At 39.0% G+C, this 18,038-nt stretch overlaps 1 protein-coding gene across 3 annotated transcripts in view; it reads left to right on the top strand.

The window, feature by feature from the left end:
- The window catches only part of LAMP2 (lysosomal associated membrane protein 2), a 43,202-nt gene that overhangs the window by 12,002 nt on the left and 13,162 nt on the right, over window positions 1-18,038 (top strand). For all 3 annotated transcript variants that reach the window (NM_001122606.1, NM_002294.3, NM_013995.2), the window contains exons 2-8: window positions 579-697; window positions 1,778-1,991; window positions 8,220-8,378; window positions 9,323-9,507; window positions 10,921-11,043; window positions 14,686-14,749; window positions 15,454-15,618. In NM_001122606.1, coding sequence (NP_001116078.1) covers window positions 579-697; window positions 1,778-1,991; window positions 8,220-8,378; window positions 9,323-9,507; window positions 10,921-11,043; window positions 14,686-14,749; window positions 15,454-15,618 — 1,029 coding nt within the window. The remainder of the gene's footprint in view (window positions 1-578; window positions 698-1,777; window positions 1,992-8,219; window positions 8,379-9,322; window positions 9,508-10,920; window positions 11,044-14,685; window positions 14,750-15,453; window positions 15,619-18,038) is intronic.

Genomic DNA, 18,038 nt, shown 5'->3' with positions numbered 1-18,038 from the left:
AGACATCCGTGTGTCATAGATTATGTAGCTTGCAACAGGATTTAAAGCAAAAAGATGGTAGAATATCGGATCTATCATTATTTTTGCAGTGAATGTTTCACCAGCTGGTTTGAGAGAAGTTTTACACCCCTACCAGGCTTCCTCTTACCTCATTTACCGCAAAAACCACAAGTCCTAACAGGCAAACTGTAATTGCCTAAAACAAAACTAGTAAGGTATAAATGCATGTGGAAATGATTATTTGAAGGCAAAAGGCAAATAAATGTCACCAGTCTGAGCCATGACCTAAGCATCCTAGGTCTAGTAACCATTCTTTTGGTAAGGGATAATGCCAACTTTTTTATCAATAGGATTCTGTTAAAAATACAAAGAAAAACAGTCAGCAGGATACTGTATCTATACACATACATATATGTATATACACATATATGTATATATATGTATGTGTATATATAGATATAAAATACTTTTGTTTCATTTTAGAGCTGGTTGAACTTCAGTGGTGGGTAGAGCTTGTTTTTAATTTATATAATTTTTGTAGTACAATTTTAAAATATTATTTTTTTAAATGAATCCAGGAGCTGTGCGGTCTTATGCATTGGAACTTAATTTGACAGATTCAGAAAATGCCACTTGCCTTTATGCAAAATGGCAGATGAATTTCACAGTACGCTATGAAACTACAAATAAAACTTATGTAAGTATATATTTTAATTTTTCTTTGAGTTTTATAGTAGGAATTTAATTGACTTTATCCTTTAGATACACGTATACAAATGAAATTCCACGTTGACTGACTTAATGCTGAAACTCTGGGATTTTTTTTAAGCATACACACTCAGAAGTTATTCTGTTTAGTGTTAGAATGAATATTTCTTCTGATTCATTGGTTCTTGGGAGTTTTTGTAGGACTTGATTAAGGGCAAATGATCTGAAGACGACTATATGGTGTTCAGGTCTAAGTATTTCTGTAAAGTGTTTAAAATGTACTAGCACCAAAGCTTGCCCTTTTAAAAAGCAGCTTCCCATCTGGGCATGGTGGCTCATGCCTGTGATCCCAGCATTTTGGAAGGCCAAAGCAGGAGGATTGCTTGAACCCAGCCCGGGCAACATGGTGAGACCTCATCTCTACAAAAAAACTTTAAAAATTAGCCAGGCATGGTGGCACACACATGTACCTCCAGCCACTCGCTGGGCCGAGGCTGGAGGATTGCTTGAGCTCAGGAGGTTGAGTCTGCAGTGAGCCATGATTGTGCTACTGCACTCCAGCCTGGGCAACAGAGCGAGACTCTATCTCAAAAAAAAAAAAAATCGCTTACTTAGGTTGGTACAAAAGTAATTGCCATTAAAGGAACAAACCACAATTACTTTTGCACCAACCTAAGTAAGCGATTTTTTTTTTTGGCACAAACTGCAATTACTTTTGCACCAACCTAACACTAAAATCTCCCCCTTTTTGACATCTCCTCTTAATTCCTTTGCCTTCTTATTTTCTTTTTGTTAAGGTCCTCACTACTTACAACCTAATTTTTTAAAAAATCAGTTTAAGAACAGCAGCTCAAGCCAGTTTTCCTTTTCTTTTTAGACATACACGAATTTATCCAGAGGAGTGGTATGTAGCAGAAGAATCAGGGACTGGTTTACACAGCAAACCAGGCAAAGGGCAACCTGGCCATGGAGAATGTATGATTTAGGCTGAAGTGGCATGCCCTACATAAATGCTTGGTGTTCCTTGCTGCCTGTTTGTTTCTCACCCCCAAATTTCTATTTCTTTTAGAAAACTGTAACCATTTCAGACCATGGCACTGTGACATATAATGGAAGCATTTGTGGGGATGATCAGAATGGTCCCAAAATAGCAGTGCAGTTCGGACCTGGCTTTTCCTGGATTGCGAATTTTACCAAGGCAGCATCTACTTATTCAATTGACAGCGTCTCATTTTCCTACAACACTGGTGATAACACAACATTTCCTGATGCTGAAGATAAAGGTAACCTTAAGAATGGATTTGTGTTATGTTCTCTTGCTTTTTATTAATGATAAAAATGTAAACAATTTTAAAATTGTTATGAATGTCTGTCTTCCTAACTAGCATGGAAACTTCATGTCTTTATAACCCTCCCACTGACCCCATGCATGGCACATATGACACCATCCAACATACTGATGATATTTGCTGTCATTGCTTGAGTGACTTACTGTATACCAGGTATTATCCTAGTATACAGTAAGTCACCTTACTATATATATCCTAGTATACATATATATGTGTATATATATACATATATATGTATATCCTAGTATATATGTATATATATATATACACATATATCCTAGTATATATATACACACATATCCTAGTATATATGTATATATATATCCTAGTGTGTGTGTATATATATATATATATATCCTAGTGTGTGTGTGTGTGTATATATATATATATATCTCCTAGTATACAGTAACACACCTAGTGTGTTACCTGCAGCATCTCACTTAATTCTTAACAGCAACCCTGGGAAGTAGATGTTGTTTCATTTTTACAGGTAAAGGAAATGAGGCTTGATAAGATTAAATGACTTTTCCAAACATCACACAGTCTGGTAAGTGGGCGAGCTGGTGTTTGAAGCAGTCTATTGACCTGCAGAATTCATATACTTAACTATTATTGATTTCATTCAGTAGTGTGCATGAAACAAAGGTTTGATGAATGAGAAAATGCTTTACTAATAGCTACTTTATTTTCAAGATCGGGGGTTGGGGGGGGTGTCTCACTATGTTGCCTAGGCTGGTTTTGAACTCCTGGATTCAAGCGATCCTCATGCCTCACAGCCTCCTGAATAGCTGGGACTACAGGCATGCACCACTGTGCCTGGCTACTAATAGCTATTTTAAATGTGTAAAAGTTAAGTAACCTGAGACTAGGAGAAATGCCTCTTGTTCAAATCTTTTTATCATTTAGGTTGGATTTTGATTGAAAAGTAAATGATGATTAGTTAAAGGTGTAGTAGTCCCTCATTACACTCAGGGGGTATCATTCTAAGATCTCCCGTAGATGCCTAAAACTGCAGTTACTACTAAACCCTATACAGGAAATGCTATGTTTTTTTTTTTTTTTTGATCTGATAACTGACATGGCTACTAAGTGACTAACGGATGGATAGTGTAGACAACGTTGATATACTGGACAAAGGGATGATTCATGTTCCTGGTTGTGCAGAGCGGGACAGCAAGAGATTTAATCATGCTACTCAGAATGGCGTACATTTTAAAACCTATGAATTGATTACTTTTGGAATTCTCCATTGAATATTTTCAGAGCTCAATTGACCATGGGTAACTGAAACCAGGGAAAGCAAAAACCGTGGATAAGGGGAGACTAAAGTCAACATTTGCTGTTATTTTAAGACAATTTCAGGTCAAAATGAACTTGGGAAGCATTGGCAATTAGGCCATTCTAGTAATTCCCAGAACTGAAATGCGTGTTAAAATATTTTGAAGATATAGAGTGTAGAGATTTTATTTTATTTTATTATTTTGAGCTGGAGTCTCGCTCTGTCGCCCAGGCTGGAGTGCAGTGGCCTGATCTCGGCTTACTGCAACCTCCGCCTCCCAGGTTCAAGCAATTCTCCTGCCTCAGCCTCCTGAGTAACTGAGATTACAGGTGCGTGCCACCACGCCCGGCTAATCTTTGTATTTTTAGTAGAGACAGGGTTTCTCCATGTTGGCCAGGATGGTCTCGAAATCCTGACCTCACGATCCACCCACCTCAGCCTCCCAAAGTGCTGGGATTACAGGCGTGAGCCACCGCACGTGGTCGAGATTTTAATTTTGTTAGGGATATAATTCTCTTCTTTCTCCCCCTGCCCGTTGAGATTGAGTTAATGTGGTATTTGTAGTAGCTTAGCTCTTTGCAGATAGTGTTTCATTCTGACCCCAGAAACAGGTAGATGGGCTTTAGTTGCCTAGACCTGGGGATTAATAACTCATTTGGACTTAAGGATGTCAAAAGATCCTATTCGAAAGAACCAGAAGTAAATAAGCTCACGTAAAATTTGGGAGGTATTGCAGAATGAGACTTGGAAATCAAATCCTAGTGTTCTTTTTACTAATCTCTTAGTTTGAGAGTATAACTAAAGCAAATGGTTATTGGCTATCTTATCAGTTTATCTTTGTGCCCTGTTTTGCCTTTCAGAGCTAGTATAAGATATGCCCCTCACTTTCAAGTAGCCTAAGAATGAGCTGGGGAGACAAAGCTAAATGCTATTCCCGAGTTACATGGAAAAATTGGAAAACATTGAGCTCAGTCTGATTTTGTTGTTGTTGTTTGCGTTTTTGTTTGAGGGAGTAGAGGGTTCATAAATCTCTTCTGACAGTGTGAGGAAAACTTTAGACTCCCTCTCAAAAAAGAAAAAGTACACAGTAAACTTTGCATATGGAACATAGTCCCTGAACCCATATGTAGATCCCTGTGGTTAAGAGTGCCTGATTTAGGTCGAGAATGGTAGCTCATGCCTGTAATCCCAGCACTTTGGGTGGCCGAGGCAGGCTGATCACTTGAGCCAGGGAGTTCAAGACTAGCCTGGGCAACATATTAAGACTTTGTCTCTACAAAAAAAAAAAAAAAAAAAAAGCCAGGTGTGGTGGCGTGTGCCTGTGGTCCCAGCTACCTGGGTGGCTAGGGTGGAGGATCGCTTGAGCCCAGGAGGTTGAGGCTCCAGTGAGCTGTGATCCCACCACTACACTCAGCCTGGGTGACAGAGAGAGAGAGACCCTGTCTCAAAAAAAAAAGAAAAGAAAAAGAAAAGACTGGCTGATTTAAAAGTGTTCCCGTGTTCCCACAAGTGGTCCTGATTAGGAGGAGTGATAAAGGAAGGCTCAGTGTGTGTTAGAGTAGTGAGAAAGCTTGGTAGAGAAGTAGGACCTGAGCTGAAACTCAGCTAATGGTAGAATTTGAGTAAGCGGAGGATTTTGAGCAGGATGTTTCCAGCAGGGGGAAGCATAGCATATGCGGCAGTAATTGGAGAGCTGCCTGATTAAATCAGGCTGTGTGTGTAGCAGAAGGAAAATAAAGTTGGCTAAATGAAGTGGGCCTAAATTATAGGGGGCCTTGGAAGCCAAGGAAAGACATTTAGCTTGATGGGGCAGGCACTGGGGAATCATTTTAGGTTTTTAAAGCAGGAGAATGATATAACAAAAGCAGAGACAGTAGCTTATAAAGAATATTCTGCAGGATTAGTTGAGAAGTGAGGAGGCTACAAGCAGAGATGCTGGCTTAAGAAGCTGTTATAGTAATCAAGGGCTGATGTAATAAATGCCTGGACTACAGGGGCATCAGTTGTTAGCAGTTATTAGGAGGAGGTGTTTAATCTGACATATTTGGATAGAAAAACTATGGACCCTGAAATGTTAACACTTCTCTCTTTCCCCTTTTATTTAAAACAAAGGGAGGATTACTTTTTAAATTACTACCTTCTATATAATAATATTTGAAACTATTTGGAATGTTAAATGGCTTCCTGAAATGGACTATTAATAATTGTTTTTGATATAGTTCAGTGTTTCAAGAATACTAATTTATGGCTGGGCGCAGTGGCTCACACCTGTAATCCCAGCACTTTGGGAGGCTGAGGCTGGTGGATCATTGGAGGTCAGGAGATTGAGACCAGCCTGGCCAACATGGTGAAACCCTGTCTCTACTAAAAATACAAAAATTAGCCGGGTGGTAGTGGTGCGTGCCTGTAATCCCAGCTACTCAGGAGGCTAAAGCAGGAGAATCGCTTTAACCTGGGAGGCGGAGGTTGCGGTGAGCCAAGATTACGCCACTGCACTCTAGCCTGGGCAACAGAGGGAGACCCTTCCTTACCCACCCCCAACAACAACAAAAAAAACTAATTTAGGCCAGGTGCAGTGACTCAACGCCTGTAATCCCAACACTTTGGAAGGCCAGGCAGATCGCTTGAGCTCAGGAGTGTGAGACTAGCCTGGGCAACATAGCGACATTCTGTCTCAAAAAATAAAAATAAAAAACTACTAATTTATTTTTAGGCATCTGATAACTGAAGTAACATTGAAGCTGCTTTTTTCTTTTTTAAATTTTTTTCGTGATTAAAATATAGAAATGTACTGGCCAGGTGTGGTGGCTCGTGCCTGTAATCCCAGCATTTTGGGAGGCCAAGGCAGGCAGATCACCTGAGGTCAGAAGTTCGAGACCAACATGGTGAAACCCCATCTCTACTAAAAATACGAAAATTAGCTGGGCGTGGTGGCGTGCACCTGTAATTCCAGCTACTTGGGAGGTTGAGGCATGAGAATCGTTTGAACCTAGGAGGTGGAGGTTGCAGTGAGCTCATATCATGCCACTGCACTCCAACCTGGGCAACAGAGCAAGACTCCATCTCAAAAAAAAATTATATATATATAAGTTACGTATATAATAAGGGTTTTTTAAAAGGCTCTACATATACATATATATATATAAAGATTATATATCTATAAAGATTATATATGTATACAGAGAATAATATAGCAGACCCATATGTACCCATTATCCAGAATTAATAAATGCTGTTTTTTTAATGTTTGTGTTACTTTTTTGATTAAAAAGATAAAACGTTGACAATACAGTTGATATTTCCTTTGTCTTCATTCCCCAGACCCATTTTCCTTCTTGCCTGCTAAGAGGCAAACACTTTCACAAATTTGGGGTATAACCTTCCTGTCTTTATGTTTGTCTTTTACTATATAAGTACGTGTTCATAAACAATACATAGTTTAAAAAAAGCTATTCATAGTATAACTCCAATATGCCTGCAAGTTGTTTTTTTGCTGATTTGCTTTTGAAGTCCATCTATATACAGCCAGTCACGTATCTATTCATTTTTGTTAACGGTGAGAAGCAATTCTGGGAAAAATGTTCTAGTTCATTGGTTTTTTGTTTTGTTTTGTTTTTTAATTCCTATGGCCATTAGGGGGTGCCAAGGCAGCATTATATGGCTGCTTGCTACATGATGGAGAGGCACAGAAGGCAGCCTATATTAAGGACCTTGGATACTTTCCTTTCTTGCTACTTCTCCAAAAGAAGCCAAACCACTTGGGTGATCATCGTCTTTTGAAGTTTCACTATACACAGGCTAATAAAAACTATATGAAATGGCTGTAACTTACTGCTTTCATACTCTGAAGATTCCCTGAAATGGAATCATCTTTAAATGTAATCCAGGAAGCGGTTCTATAAGCTCATTGGAGTTAATATAACTTACTTGGGACTAGTAAAACAAAAATAAGGATTTACTATACAAATGTATGATTAATCCATCTCTCTTGCTTCTTTAGTTATAGTCACTAAGTCCTGATGATTCTACCATAGATAAGTGTTTTCAGTTTGGCTTCTTTGCTCTCTTTCTACTGCCCCACACCATCTTAGTTTAGGCAACCCTCCCTTACCCTTCACCTTAACCAGACCATCACCCTCTGGTTTCCCTCTTAAGTGGCTTCCCTGAAAAGTTTTTCCCCCTGCTTATCCCCTACAAATTTGCTATCTTCCTTAAAATAAATTATATATGTGTTATTTTCTGCTTTAAAAACTGAGGCTAGCCCTCGACTGCTAAAAAGAAAAGCCCAAACAGGCCTTAGATCATAGAAGATGCTTCAAAGTATGATCACCTGCAACTTGTCTTTCCTTCTTAACCCCCATTTCTTTTCCTTTTTTCTTTCTTTTTCTTTTTTTCTTGAGACAGAGTTTTGCTCTTGTCATCCAGGCTGTAGTGCAGTGGGCGATCTTGGCTCACTGCAACCTCCGCCTCCCGGGTTCAAGCAATTCTCCTGCCTTAGCCTCCCAAGTAACTGGGATTACAGGCACCTGCCACCATGCCCAGCTAATTATTATCTTTTTAGTAGAGACGAGGTTTCACCATGTTGGTCAGGCTGGTCTCAAACTCCTGACCTCAGGTGATCCACCCACCTCGGCCTCCCAAAGTGCTGGGATTACAGGCATGGGCCACTGTGCCCAGCCCCTAACCCCCATTTCTTCTTCCCCCTTACTCCTTATGTTTTAGCCACAGTGAACTAGTCATGCCCTTAAGCATGCTATATCCTTTGTCACTTTGTGCCTGGGGTAGGGCAGGCAGAGAGAAGAAGAAAGCCTATACAAATATATTTATATTATCACTTTTCTCCTACCTTCTTGGAAATAGCCATTGTTAATCTTGTTTTATAGGAATTCTTACTGTTGATGAACTTTTGGCCATCAGAATTCCATTGAATGACCTTTTTAGATGCAATAGTTTATCAACTTTGGAAAAGAATGATGTTGTCCAACACTACTGGGATGTTCTTGTACAAGCTTTTGTCCAAAATGGCACAGTGAGCACAAATGGTGAGTAAAGTATATATTTCTCTACTTGGATCCTAATTTAAGAGTAGAGTATACCAGGTAGCTTTCATTGAAGTCATTATCTGAAAGCATTTATATATTAAGGTTTATTCATAGCTTCTACTAGGCTATAAAGTTTTTGTAAATAATAGCAATTCTTATTTTTGTGTATCTTACAATTTAAAGTTTTTGATGTACATGTTGTGGAATGGTATTTTAAAAGACACTACCTATACTGTTCTCAGCTGATAAAACCTAATCATTGTTTGAACAGATCCTCAGATAGCTTGATTATCAGCTTTTTTAGCGGTTCCAAGACCAAAGCTTAGAAATCAGATTCATATTCTAATCTTGAATTTTTAAAGTTGATTTTATAATTTTTATATAGCTTTATGGAAAGGTAATAATTTCTCATTCACCAGTTCTGGAAAACTATGAACACTTCCCAAGAAGAGGTTGAAATGCCTATGATTTGCCATAGGGCTAATGCAAATAAATGGTTCATTTGTATTTAAGTCCTTTGATGATTTCTAAGCTTTTTTCTAGTAAACAGTATCCTTCCTTATGGTGATTGTATGTGGGAATAAAGAACCAAAAAATTTAAGACTTAACTCTCTGAATTTCGTATCAGAGGCAGGCAAAGTTCTTTGGGAATAAAAAGATTTAAGGGTCTGAAAAAGACGAGTATGTGGCCATGTGGGAGCAGATAAAGCATAGGGATGTGTCCTGAGTTTGCTGTGTCATAACTCATGTAGATATTCTGTATATGAAGCAGCAGTTTAAGAACCTCTGCCTAATTTAGTTTCAAATATACTAACAAGATATTCTCTTCCCCTAATATAACCCTTTTGGACTTCTATTATGAGAATTTTTTTTGGTTTTCCCTGGCCTTATGAATTAAGAAAATGTCCGCTTTGGTTTCTTTTGTCCCTTTTCGCTTGTTTTAGAGTTCCTGTGTGATAAAGACAAAACTTCAACAGTGGCACCCACCATACACACCACTGTGCCATCTCCTACTACAACACCTACTCCAAAGGAAAAACCAGAAGCTGGAACCTATTCAGTTAATAATGGCAATGATACTTGTCTGCTGGCTACCATGGGGCTGCAGCTGAACATCACTCAGGATAAGGTATAGGTGTCTATCTTTATCAATACATCCTTTTTGCATTTCATTTCAAATATTGCGTATCCTACCTTCAGCCCAAAGGTAGTGTTACTAGAATGATTCCGTTTTCTTTTTGTTTGTTTGTTTGTTTTTTTGAGATGGAGTCACGCTCTGTCCCCCAGGCTGGAGTGCAGTGGTGCGATCTCAGCTCACTGCAAACTCCGCCTCCCGGGTTCACGCCATTCTCCTGCCTCAGCCTCCCGAGTTGCTGGGACTACAGGCGCCTGCCACCATGCCCGGCTAATTTTTTGTATTTTTTTAGTAGAGATAGGGTTTTACCGTGTTAGCCAGGACGGTCTCGATCTCCTGACCTTGTGCTCCGCCCGTCTCGGCCTCCCAAAGTGCTGGGATTACAGGCGTGAGCCACCACACCCAGGTTTTTCTTTCTTTTTTTTCTGAGATGGAGTGTCACACTGTCGCCCAGGCTGGAGTGCAGTGGCATGATCTTGGCTCACTGCAACCTCCGCCTCCAGGGTTTAAGTGATTCTTCTGCCTCAGCCTCCCGAGTAGCTGGGGTTACAGGCGTGCACTGCCATGCACAACTAATTTTTTTGTATTTTTAGTAGAAATGGGTTTTTACCATCTTGGCCAGGCTGGTCTTGAACTCCTGACCTCAAGTGATCCACCCGCCTCAGCCTCTCAAAGTGCTGGAATTACAGGCGTGAGCCACCGCGCCCAGCCTGATTCAGTTTTAAATGGAGATTTCATGTTGGCTTGTTGAGCTTTGATTAGTTAGGAGTTACTATAACCATGATGTGTTAATGTCACTTTCAGGTGTTGTGTTGGCCGGCAGAAAACCTAGCAGTTTAAAGTACTCTTGGGGGTTTAGATTCTATTTGCCATCAGTGGATCAGAGTACAAACAATTGGCCTTTATTTCAGTCAGTTTAAAATATAACTCCTTCACACTTTGATCTGAAATGCACTGTAGGTTGGCGTACAGGAGTGGCACAGCTATCCGTTTCTCCAGCTATTTGATTACTCGGATCGTGTAGACATGCCCGAGTACATGATGGCACTTCTAGTTGCAATGTTCCACTCAGGCTGTAGAGGGATTGCCAAGAAACAAATCCGATTTCCAGGATCTTGTGACTTAAACAAGCGAGGCAGATGGCTCTTGTGCTCCATAAAAATGTGTGTTTTCATTTGGCTCATTACTGTAGAAGCTTCCCTCTTGTTTTTTTTTTTAAGTTGTCTGAGTCATAGCTTGAGGACCCATGCCAACTTTGTTTGAAAGTGAAGACACCATGAATTTTAAGTATCCAGACAAAAGATTTTTTGTTCTACGCTGAAGTTGATTTTGTTTGGTAGAGTGTAAGGCTTTGCTGGCCACTTTTATAGCTAACCTGTACCTTTTCCCTTTCTTCTTCTCCTGAAGGTTGCTTCAGTTATTAACATCAACCCCAATACAACTCACTCCACAGGCAGCTGCCGTTCTCACACTGCTCTACTTAGACTCAATAGCAGCACCATTAAGTATCTAGACTTTGTCTTTGCTGTGGTGAGTAACAGATTTTTTAAAGTTAGGTTCATTCTCTTAGAAACACATCTGAAAGTCTAAATAGTTGCATGGGGGGAGGGGGGTATTTAGCTTTATTTTCCAGTTCTACAGTACTCAATTATAAAGTGTAGTCCATTCATCCCTGTTCATCCCTCAGAGTCTGTGCAATGGTCTGTGGACTGGACTCTTGCATTAATGTTCACCAAGAGTGGCCATTTTACCATTAGAGAGACTCTAGGGTAGAAGCAAGAATTAACTCACATCAAAAAAAAGAAAAAAACGAAACCCACAATTGTCTAATCTATCCATACATAAGTAATTTCCATGATAATTTTTTCTCTGTTATTGGTTAGGTAGTGCTCATGTTTTTCTGTGATACTATTTGAAGCCATTTGGAGGCTATATTATTTGTGATAGTGTCAGTAATAAAAATAGGTAACATCTATTGAGTACTTACTATGTACAAAGCTCTGTGTTAAGTGTGTATATGAATTCATTAAATCAGGACAATTTATAATGGCAGCATTCAGGTTTTTGTTGTTGATCAAGAGCTGAAACCTAAACAGAAGGTTTTGGGTTAAGCATACCTGTTCTACTTCTTGCTAGCATAAATTAATCATCGGGGATCTTTATTTCCACCTTCTCAGAAGCAACTATTATTCCCATAATTTCTGTGAAGGGATGTATGTGTGAACATGTTGTGGCAAATGAGACTGGTGGAATAGAAGATAGCTGTAAGTGAGGGAAAATGTTGAACCACCAACTATTCTCAAACTAAAAATATTGTATAATTAGATAAAAACCAGTTCTGTTTTTAAATCAGATTACTGTGTTTGGGGATGGGGAAATAATCTCAACATCTGATATATAAAAAGTAGGTATGTTGTTATTTCATATGTGATCTTGGTATTTTGAGTCTAAAGCACATTTTTCTCTTTAGAATATATGCCGAGTAATTGAGGATTACATTAGGCACTTGTATTTTGGAAAGGTTTACAAAAATGTTCCTTTTTCCAGCATTCAAATAATTCCTCTGTTAAAGTACCATGTGACCAGTGAATTACTATTGAAAATGTCTAATTGAATTTGTCCTCTCCAGTATGGTAAAAGCAAGCCTCAGGCACATTCTCTTTTAAAGTTACCTAATAGGGGTTATGGTCAATAAGAACAAGGAAAGTAGTATTTTGGGTTTATTCCCTTTCAAGTGATTGAGTTTGATCTTTCTAGCTGTGGTAGACTCCTAAAAGGAACATGATTTCTCTTGACTCTTATACGGCAATGTTTAGTATTTAAGAATTACAATATTTAATTTACCCAGCAGGCTATCTTAAAACGTAATCCAAAATAGTGACATTTTAATCATGCTACAGGCACTCTGAAAAATCAAGAGACACCTGCAATGTCCCCAGAGTTCAGTGGGGCCCATTTTTGCCTTCAACCCTGTCATGATAGATGCTCCTTAGGAGAATTTATAGAATTCGAGTGCGTTATGTGCAGGCTGCTATGGTGGGTTATGGAGAAGAAAGCCAGTATTCTTAAAGTGCCCACAGTTTAGTGGTAATGGGAGAAATCTGCAAATAATTACCATTTTTGTGAAAGGCCTACATGCCATGCCAAGGCTTTTGAACTCGATTCTGTAGGCAGTATAGTACTGTGGAAGGTGTATATGAAATGGGATGAGTGCCAGACCAGAGAATAGTACAAAGTGCTGCAGGAGAATGGAGGAGGGAGAGGTTAATTCCGGCTGGAGGAGAGTCAGGAAGGTTTAATGGCAGAGATGGCATTTGAGCTGGGCCTTCAAGGATGGGTCTGATTTGTATTGGTAGGGAGATAAGGAGAGTAAGTGGGAAAGTGCAGGTTATCCCTGGATAAAGGGCATAATCAAGACCAGCTGGGAGAATGAGGAGTGTTATATGTTTAGTGAAAATGTGGAAAAGTCATTGGGACAAATTGTGGAGTCTTGAATGCAAAGCCAAGATGTAGCCTAAGTCGAGGAGGGATGTGATGAAGGTGTGAAGTCCTCCATTATGCTTCTTCCTGAAATTTCTCTGAAGTCTGTCTCCTAGCTTTTACTCCCCATTGCCTTTGCTCTGGGTCCAGTCCACATTACCTCTTGCCTGGACCATTCAAACAGCTCCTGCCTGATTGCTCCTCTTCCTCACCTTCTCCATTGTTCTACATCAACTTAACCTTCCTAAAGCACATCTCTCCATCAGTGTTTCTCTCTTTCTTTTCTTTCTTTCTTTCTTTTCTTTTTTCTTTTCTTTTCTTTCCTTCCTTCCTTCCTTCCTTCTTTCTTCTTTTCCTTCTTTTCTTTTCTTTCTTTGACAGAGTCTCGCTTTGTCGCCCAGGCTGGAGTGCAGTAGCGAGACCTCAGCTCACTACAACCTCCGCCTCCCAGATTCAAGCGATTCTCCTGCCTCAGCTGCCCAAATAGCTGGAACTACAGGCATGTGCCACCACGCCTGGCTAATTTTTTGTATTTTTAATAGAGACGGGATTTCACCGTGTTAGCCAGGATGGTCTCGATCTCCTGACCTCATGGTCTGCCTGCCTCACAATGTTTCTCTTTTGCCAACAAGGTAACATCTAAAGTCCATGGCTGGGTAGTTCAAGCCTTCTTTTCTCCCATGCAATGCAGCCTGCATTTTCAGCCTTCACTCCCTCTTTATGAACCTTATGTTTCCTTTAGTTCCTTCAGGGTGCTTCCCTCATCCTGTCCTCTGTGCACTTCTTGTGAGGTAGGAGAACATAGTAATAATAATTACATAGACTCCGCAGCCATACTCCCAAAATGGGGATGATAACAGCACCTATTGCATAGGAGTGTTGTACTTACTCAGCGAAGCATCATATGTAAAGTTTTAAGAACAGTGCTGGGCACTTAGTAAGTGCTCAAATGCTAGCATAAAAATTTGAGATTATGCTTATTTTCTAACTACCGTTATTTATACTCTTGCTCTCTCAAATACCCCTTTTCCCACTTGTTTCCTAAGAGAATCCTGCCCGGTTCAAAATGCCCCATCCCTAAGCTGGCATTACTTTTTCTCCTCCCTTATTTGGAAGTGATTTCTCTCCTATTTTCATGACTTCTCACTTTCTTTTTTGTAATATGGTTGTTTATGTGTTTATCTTACCTTCCCTGGCAGATTGCAAACAGGGTGAAGGCAGGATTGAAGTGTGGTTCATTTTGGTAGCTCCTGGAGTACTTGCACTCTGAAATTATTAGAATGACTGGCTGATCAGATGAGTACTTCAGAAAGATAATAGCAGTGAAAAGGAAAGATTAGGACTGGAGGGGCTGAAAGGCAGGGAGCCCACTTAAGAGGCTGCTGTGATCCAGGCTAGAGGTGGTGAGGGCTCAGCAAGTGACAGGAGGAATAAAATTGAGGCCATAAATCTTCAAGTGTCTGAGATCCACATGACTACACCTGTGCTCCAAAAGTTGGAAACAAAATACAGAGGAAAGGGATTTCTGTCAGATTATGAGTTCTCTTTTACTTAGTTGCAGTTTATTCTACCGCATGATTTCTTCTTCTGTGTAATAGTGTTAGATTGCTTTTCTTCTGTGGGTATTAACCGTATCTGTTATCTGTAGACAGTTGTGAAATGTTAATTAACTGGAAGCTCTTTTTCAAACAGAAAAATGAAAACCGATTTTATCTGAAGGAAGTGAACATCAGCATGTATTTGGTTAATGGCTCCGGTAAGCAAAGCACTGGCCTGGGGAAAAAGACTGTGGATTACCCTGAAGGATTAGAAATTACAATGGTCTTATTACCAAATAGTGCCTTATTTAATGAAACAGAAGATGCTATGTAAAAAGTGTACCTTGATCATACCTTAAAATCAGTAACTTAGAACTATGATGTTCTGTCTTTTTCTGTATCCCATTTTTTCAAAGTAGAGTAGATAATAATTAAGGATATGACTGATTTTTAGACTATAGAAACATCTATAGAAAGATAAGGGAACCTAGTTATGGTAAGAATTGCTTTTTGTGGGTTGATCTTGTCCCCCAGGCCTTCACTGAAAAACCCTGAGGACTGTTCCTTTTTTTTTTTTTTTTTTTTTTTGAGACAGGGTCTCGCTCTATGCCCAGGCCAGATTGCAGGGGTGTGACCACAGCTCAATCCCAGGTTCAAGCCAACTACCCACCTCAGCCTCCTAGGTAGCTGGGACTACAGGTGTGCACCATCATGCCCAGCTAATTTTTTTTTGTATTTTTTGTAGAGACAGGGTTTCACCATGTTGCCCAGGCTGGTCTTGATCTCCTGGGCTCACGTGATCTGCCCACCTTGGCTTCCCAAAGTGCTGGAATTACAGGCGTGAGCCACTGTGCCTGGCCAACTTTCCCATTTTTGATGTTGATAGGATAAGAAGTTACTAACCTGTTTCTTTTCTTTGAAGTTTTCAGCATTGCAAATAACAATCTCAGCTACTGGGATGCCCCCCTGGGAAGTTCTTATATGTGCAACAAAGAGCAGACTGTTTCAGTGTCTGGAGCATTTCAGATAAATACCTTTGATCTAAGGGTTCAGCCTTTCAATGTGACACAAGGAAAGTATTCTACAGGTAAGAATCAAGCAAACTTCATTAATAATTTATGTTCTTATGTTGACAGGTGGCTTTTCCTTTGAATCATAGACATTTAAACGTTGAAATAGAGGAATATGAATTCATAGCCTTGACCAAATTGTGCAACTCTATATTTGGCTCATCATTTTGCTCAACCGAGATGTTTTTGTGATCTTAAAATCATTTGCAAAAAAAGTTCTTAAAGCTAAAACTGATAGAAGCTTTAAGTGAGCTTTATTTGAGGTATGGGTTTTAGTTTGTAGGGAAGATGGCACTTGGGAGCAGCAGCTTTGAGCATCTTGCATCTGCTTCCTGAGGCCGTCTTCTCACTGGAAACATTTTCATACCTGAATGAAAGCAGTTTGGTCTGATTTTGTTAAGACAAAAGATAAAGAGCGGTAGCAAAGCCTCAAATATCATGAACTATGTTTTTACCAGCCAAAACGATCTGGAGAGTTTTCAAAGCATGTGCCAGTGTGAATGACGCTTTTTGAAGATCACTCAGGGATAATGGTGGTATTTATTAGATTTTTAATGAAACCTTTTGAAGGGCTCATTATAATGTGTTCATACGAATATGAAAGACATATTTGGCATTACAAGATTAAAATTTGCATGAAGAAAAAAAGCACATAAAATTCCTTAATTGACTTGTCCTTTTAAGCCTATTACCTAAAATTGGGGGTTTGTGGATCACAACTCTGTTGAGCAGAGCTAGCTATTCCAGGCATCCACATCCTTTTCAACCATTAATTCTATGGTTTGGAAGGAAATGTGGAAGCTGTGTTTAAAAGCGAATATACTGTGAGCCATTCGACTACTTTTGCAGTGGTGTTGAATACCTAGTCTGACTTGGTTAGGCCACAATAAATTGGGCTCTCCACCCTACCATTCTTGCGATTAAAGACGTTAGTTACACTTTAAAAATATTTTCAAGAATTCATTTTCCCTTTTGTCTGTTTTGCTTATGTACTTCAATTATTTTGATCCTTTAGTAGCTTTATTTTTGGACTTTTTATCTGGCTCCCCTTCATTATTCCCCTAATTTTAAGTCCAGATTTGTGTTTACAGTTTAAAATCGTTTGCAGTATTAGTATCATCACTTCAAGACTGTTTATCTAGTCACCTGTAATAGAGATGAGCTGTGCTCTTTCTCTTACTTTGAAACTTTGGTTTTTATGTACATAGAATTAAAAATATCACCCAAAGAGATATACAGCATTTAATACTGATATTGAATGTATAATCTATTTGTGGAACTAGGTTCTTGGCTGTGGGTACCTATAAATACAACACATAGGTAATATTTGACTGTATGGGGAAAGAAATAGAATTGCAATAAGGCAGAAGAGTGTTGATTGGATTTTACTGGATCAGACCACTTTCTAGAAGTAGAAAAAAATAGCCCCCTTAGGCTGCCAACCCTGACCAGATAAGAAATGCAGTAAGCACGCTCAAATTAGTAAGAGGTCCCAGTTTTCTTGACTTTGCAGCCACTAAAATTGTATGTACTAAGTCACGATCTGCAAACTTTAAAGTTCCAAACAGTGAGTGTTTTAGGCTTTGGTGCCATATGGTCTCTGTCACAACTATTTGACCCTGCTATTGTAGCACGAAAACAGCAACACATAAACAGATGACTGTGGCTGGGTTCCAATAAAACCTTATTTATGGACACTGGAATTTGAATTTTATATGCTCTCATGTGTCACAAAATATTTTTTTCAACCATTTAAAAATGTAAAGGCCATTTTTAGCTCTTGGACCAGATCTGGCCCATGGGCTACAGCTTGCTGACCCCTGACCCTAAAGACAGAGCCAGCCTGGCTATTCTCATCACATGATACCTTCCTGATCCTGTTTCCACTTTCCCAAAAGACATTCACTCTACCACTGAGAGGCTAATCTGGCTATGTAAAAGTGGGCTAGATTAGCTCCCTTTATTTCTGATAAAGTAATATGCCTATTTTGGAAAGGACTTGGAATATAAACAAACATATATGTGTGTATGTATATGTATATGCACACATATATATCACATATAAAATATATATCATATATATAATGTGTGCATTATATATCATATATAATGTGCATATATTATATATATGCACACATATACAATGTGCATATAATATATGCACATTACAATATGAGCTGTGTTTATAGATGTAAATGAATATACATGTATTCATATATATGAATATCTGCATATATACACATAAACAAATGAAAGGACAAAGAAAGTCTTAGAATTTTAATTCTAGAACAGTTCTCCATTTTCTATAGCTTTATCATAAAAATATACCTGTCTTAGTTACTTGAAGTTGATCTTGTAAGAACATTTCTGACTTTTAAATCAACATCTTTGACTTCGAGACATTCTTTTGTGATTATACTCATTATTTATTACACAC

This window comes from Homo sapiens, chromosome X (genome assembly GCF_000001405.40).
Source record: "Homo sapiens chromosome X, GRCh38.p14 Primary Assembly".
Taxonomy (NCBI): Eukaryota; Metazoa; Chordata; class Mammalia; order Primates; family Hominidae; genus Homo; species Homo sapiens.
Note: the sequence above shows the minus strand (reverse complement) of the source record. Positions and strands in the feature narration are given on the sequence as shown.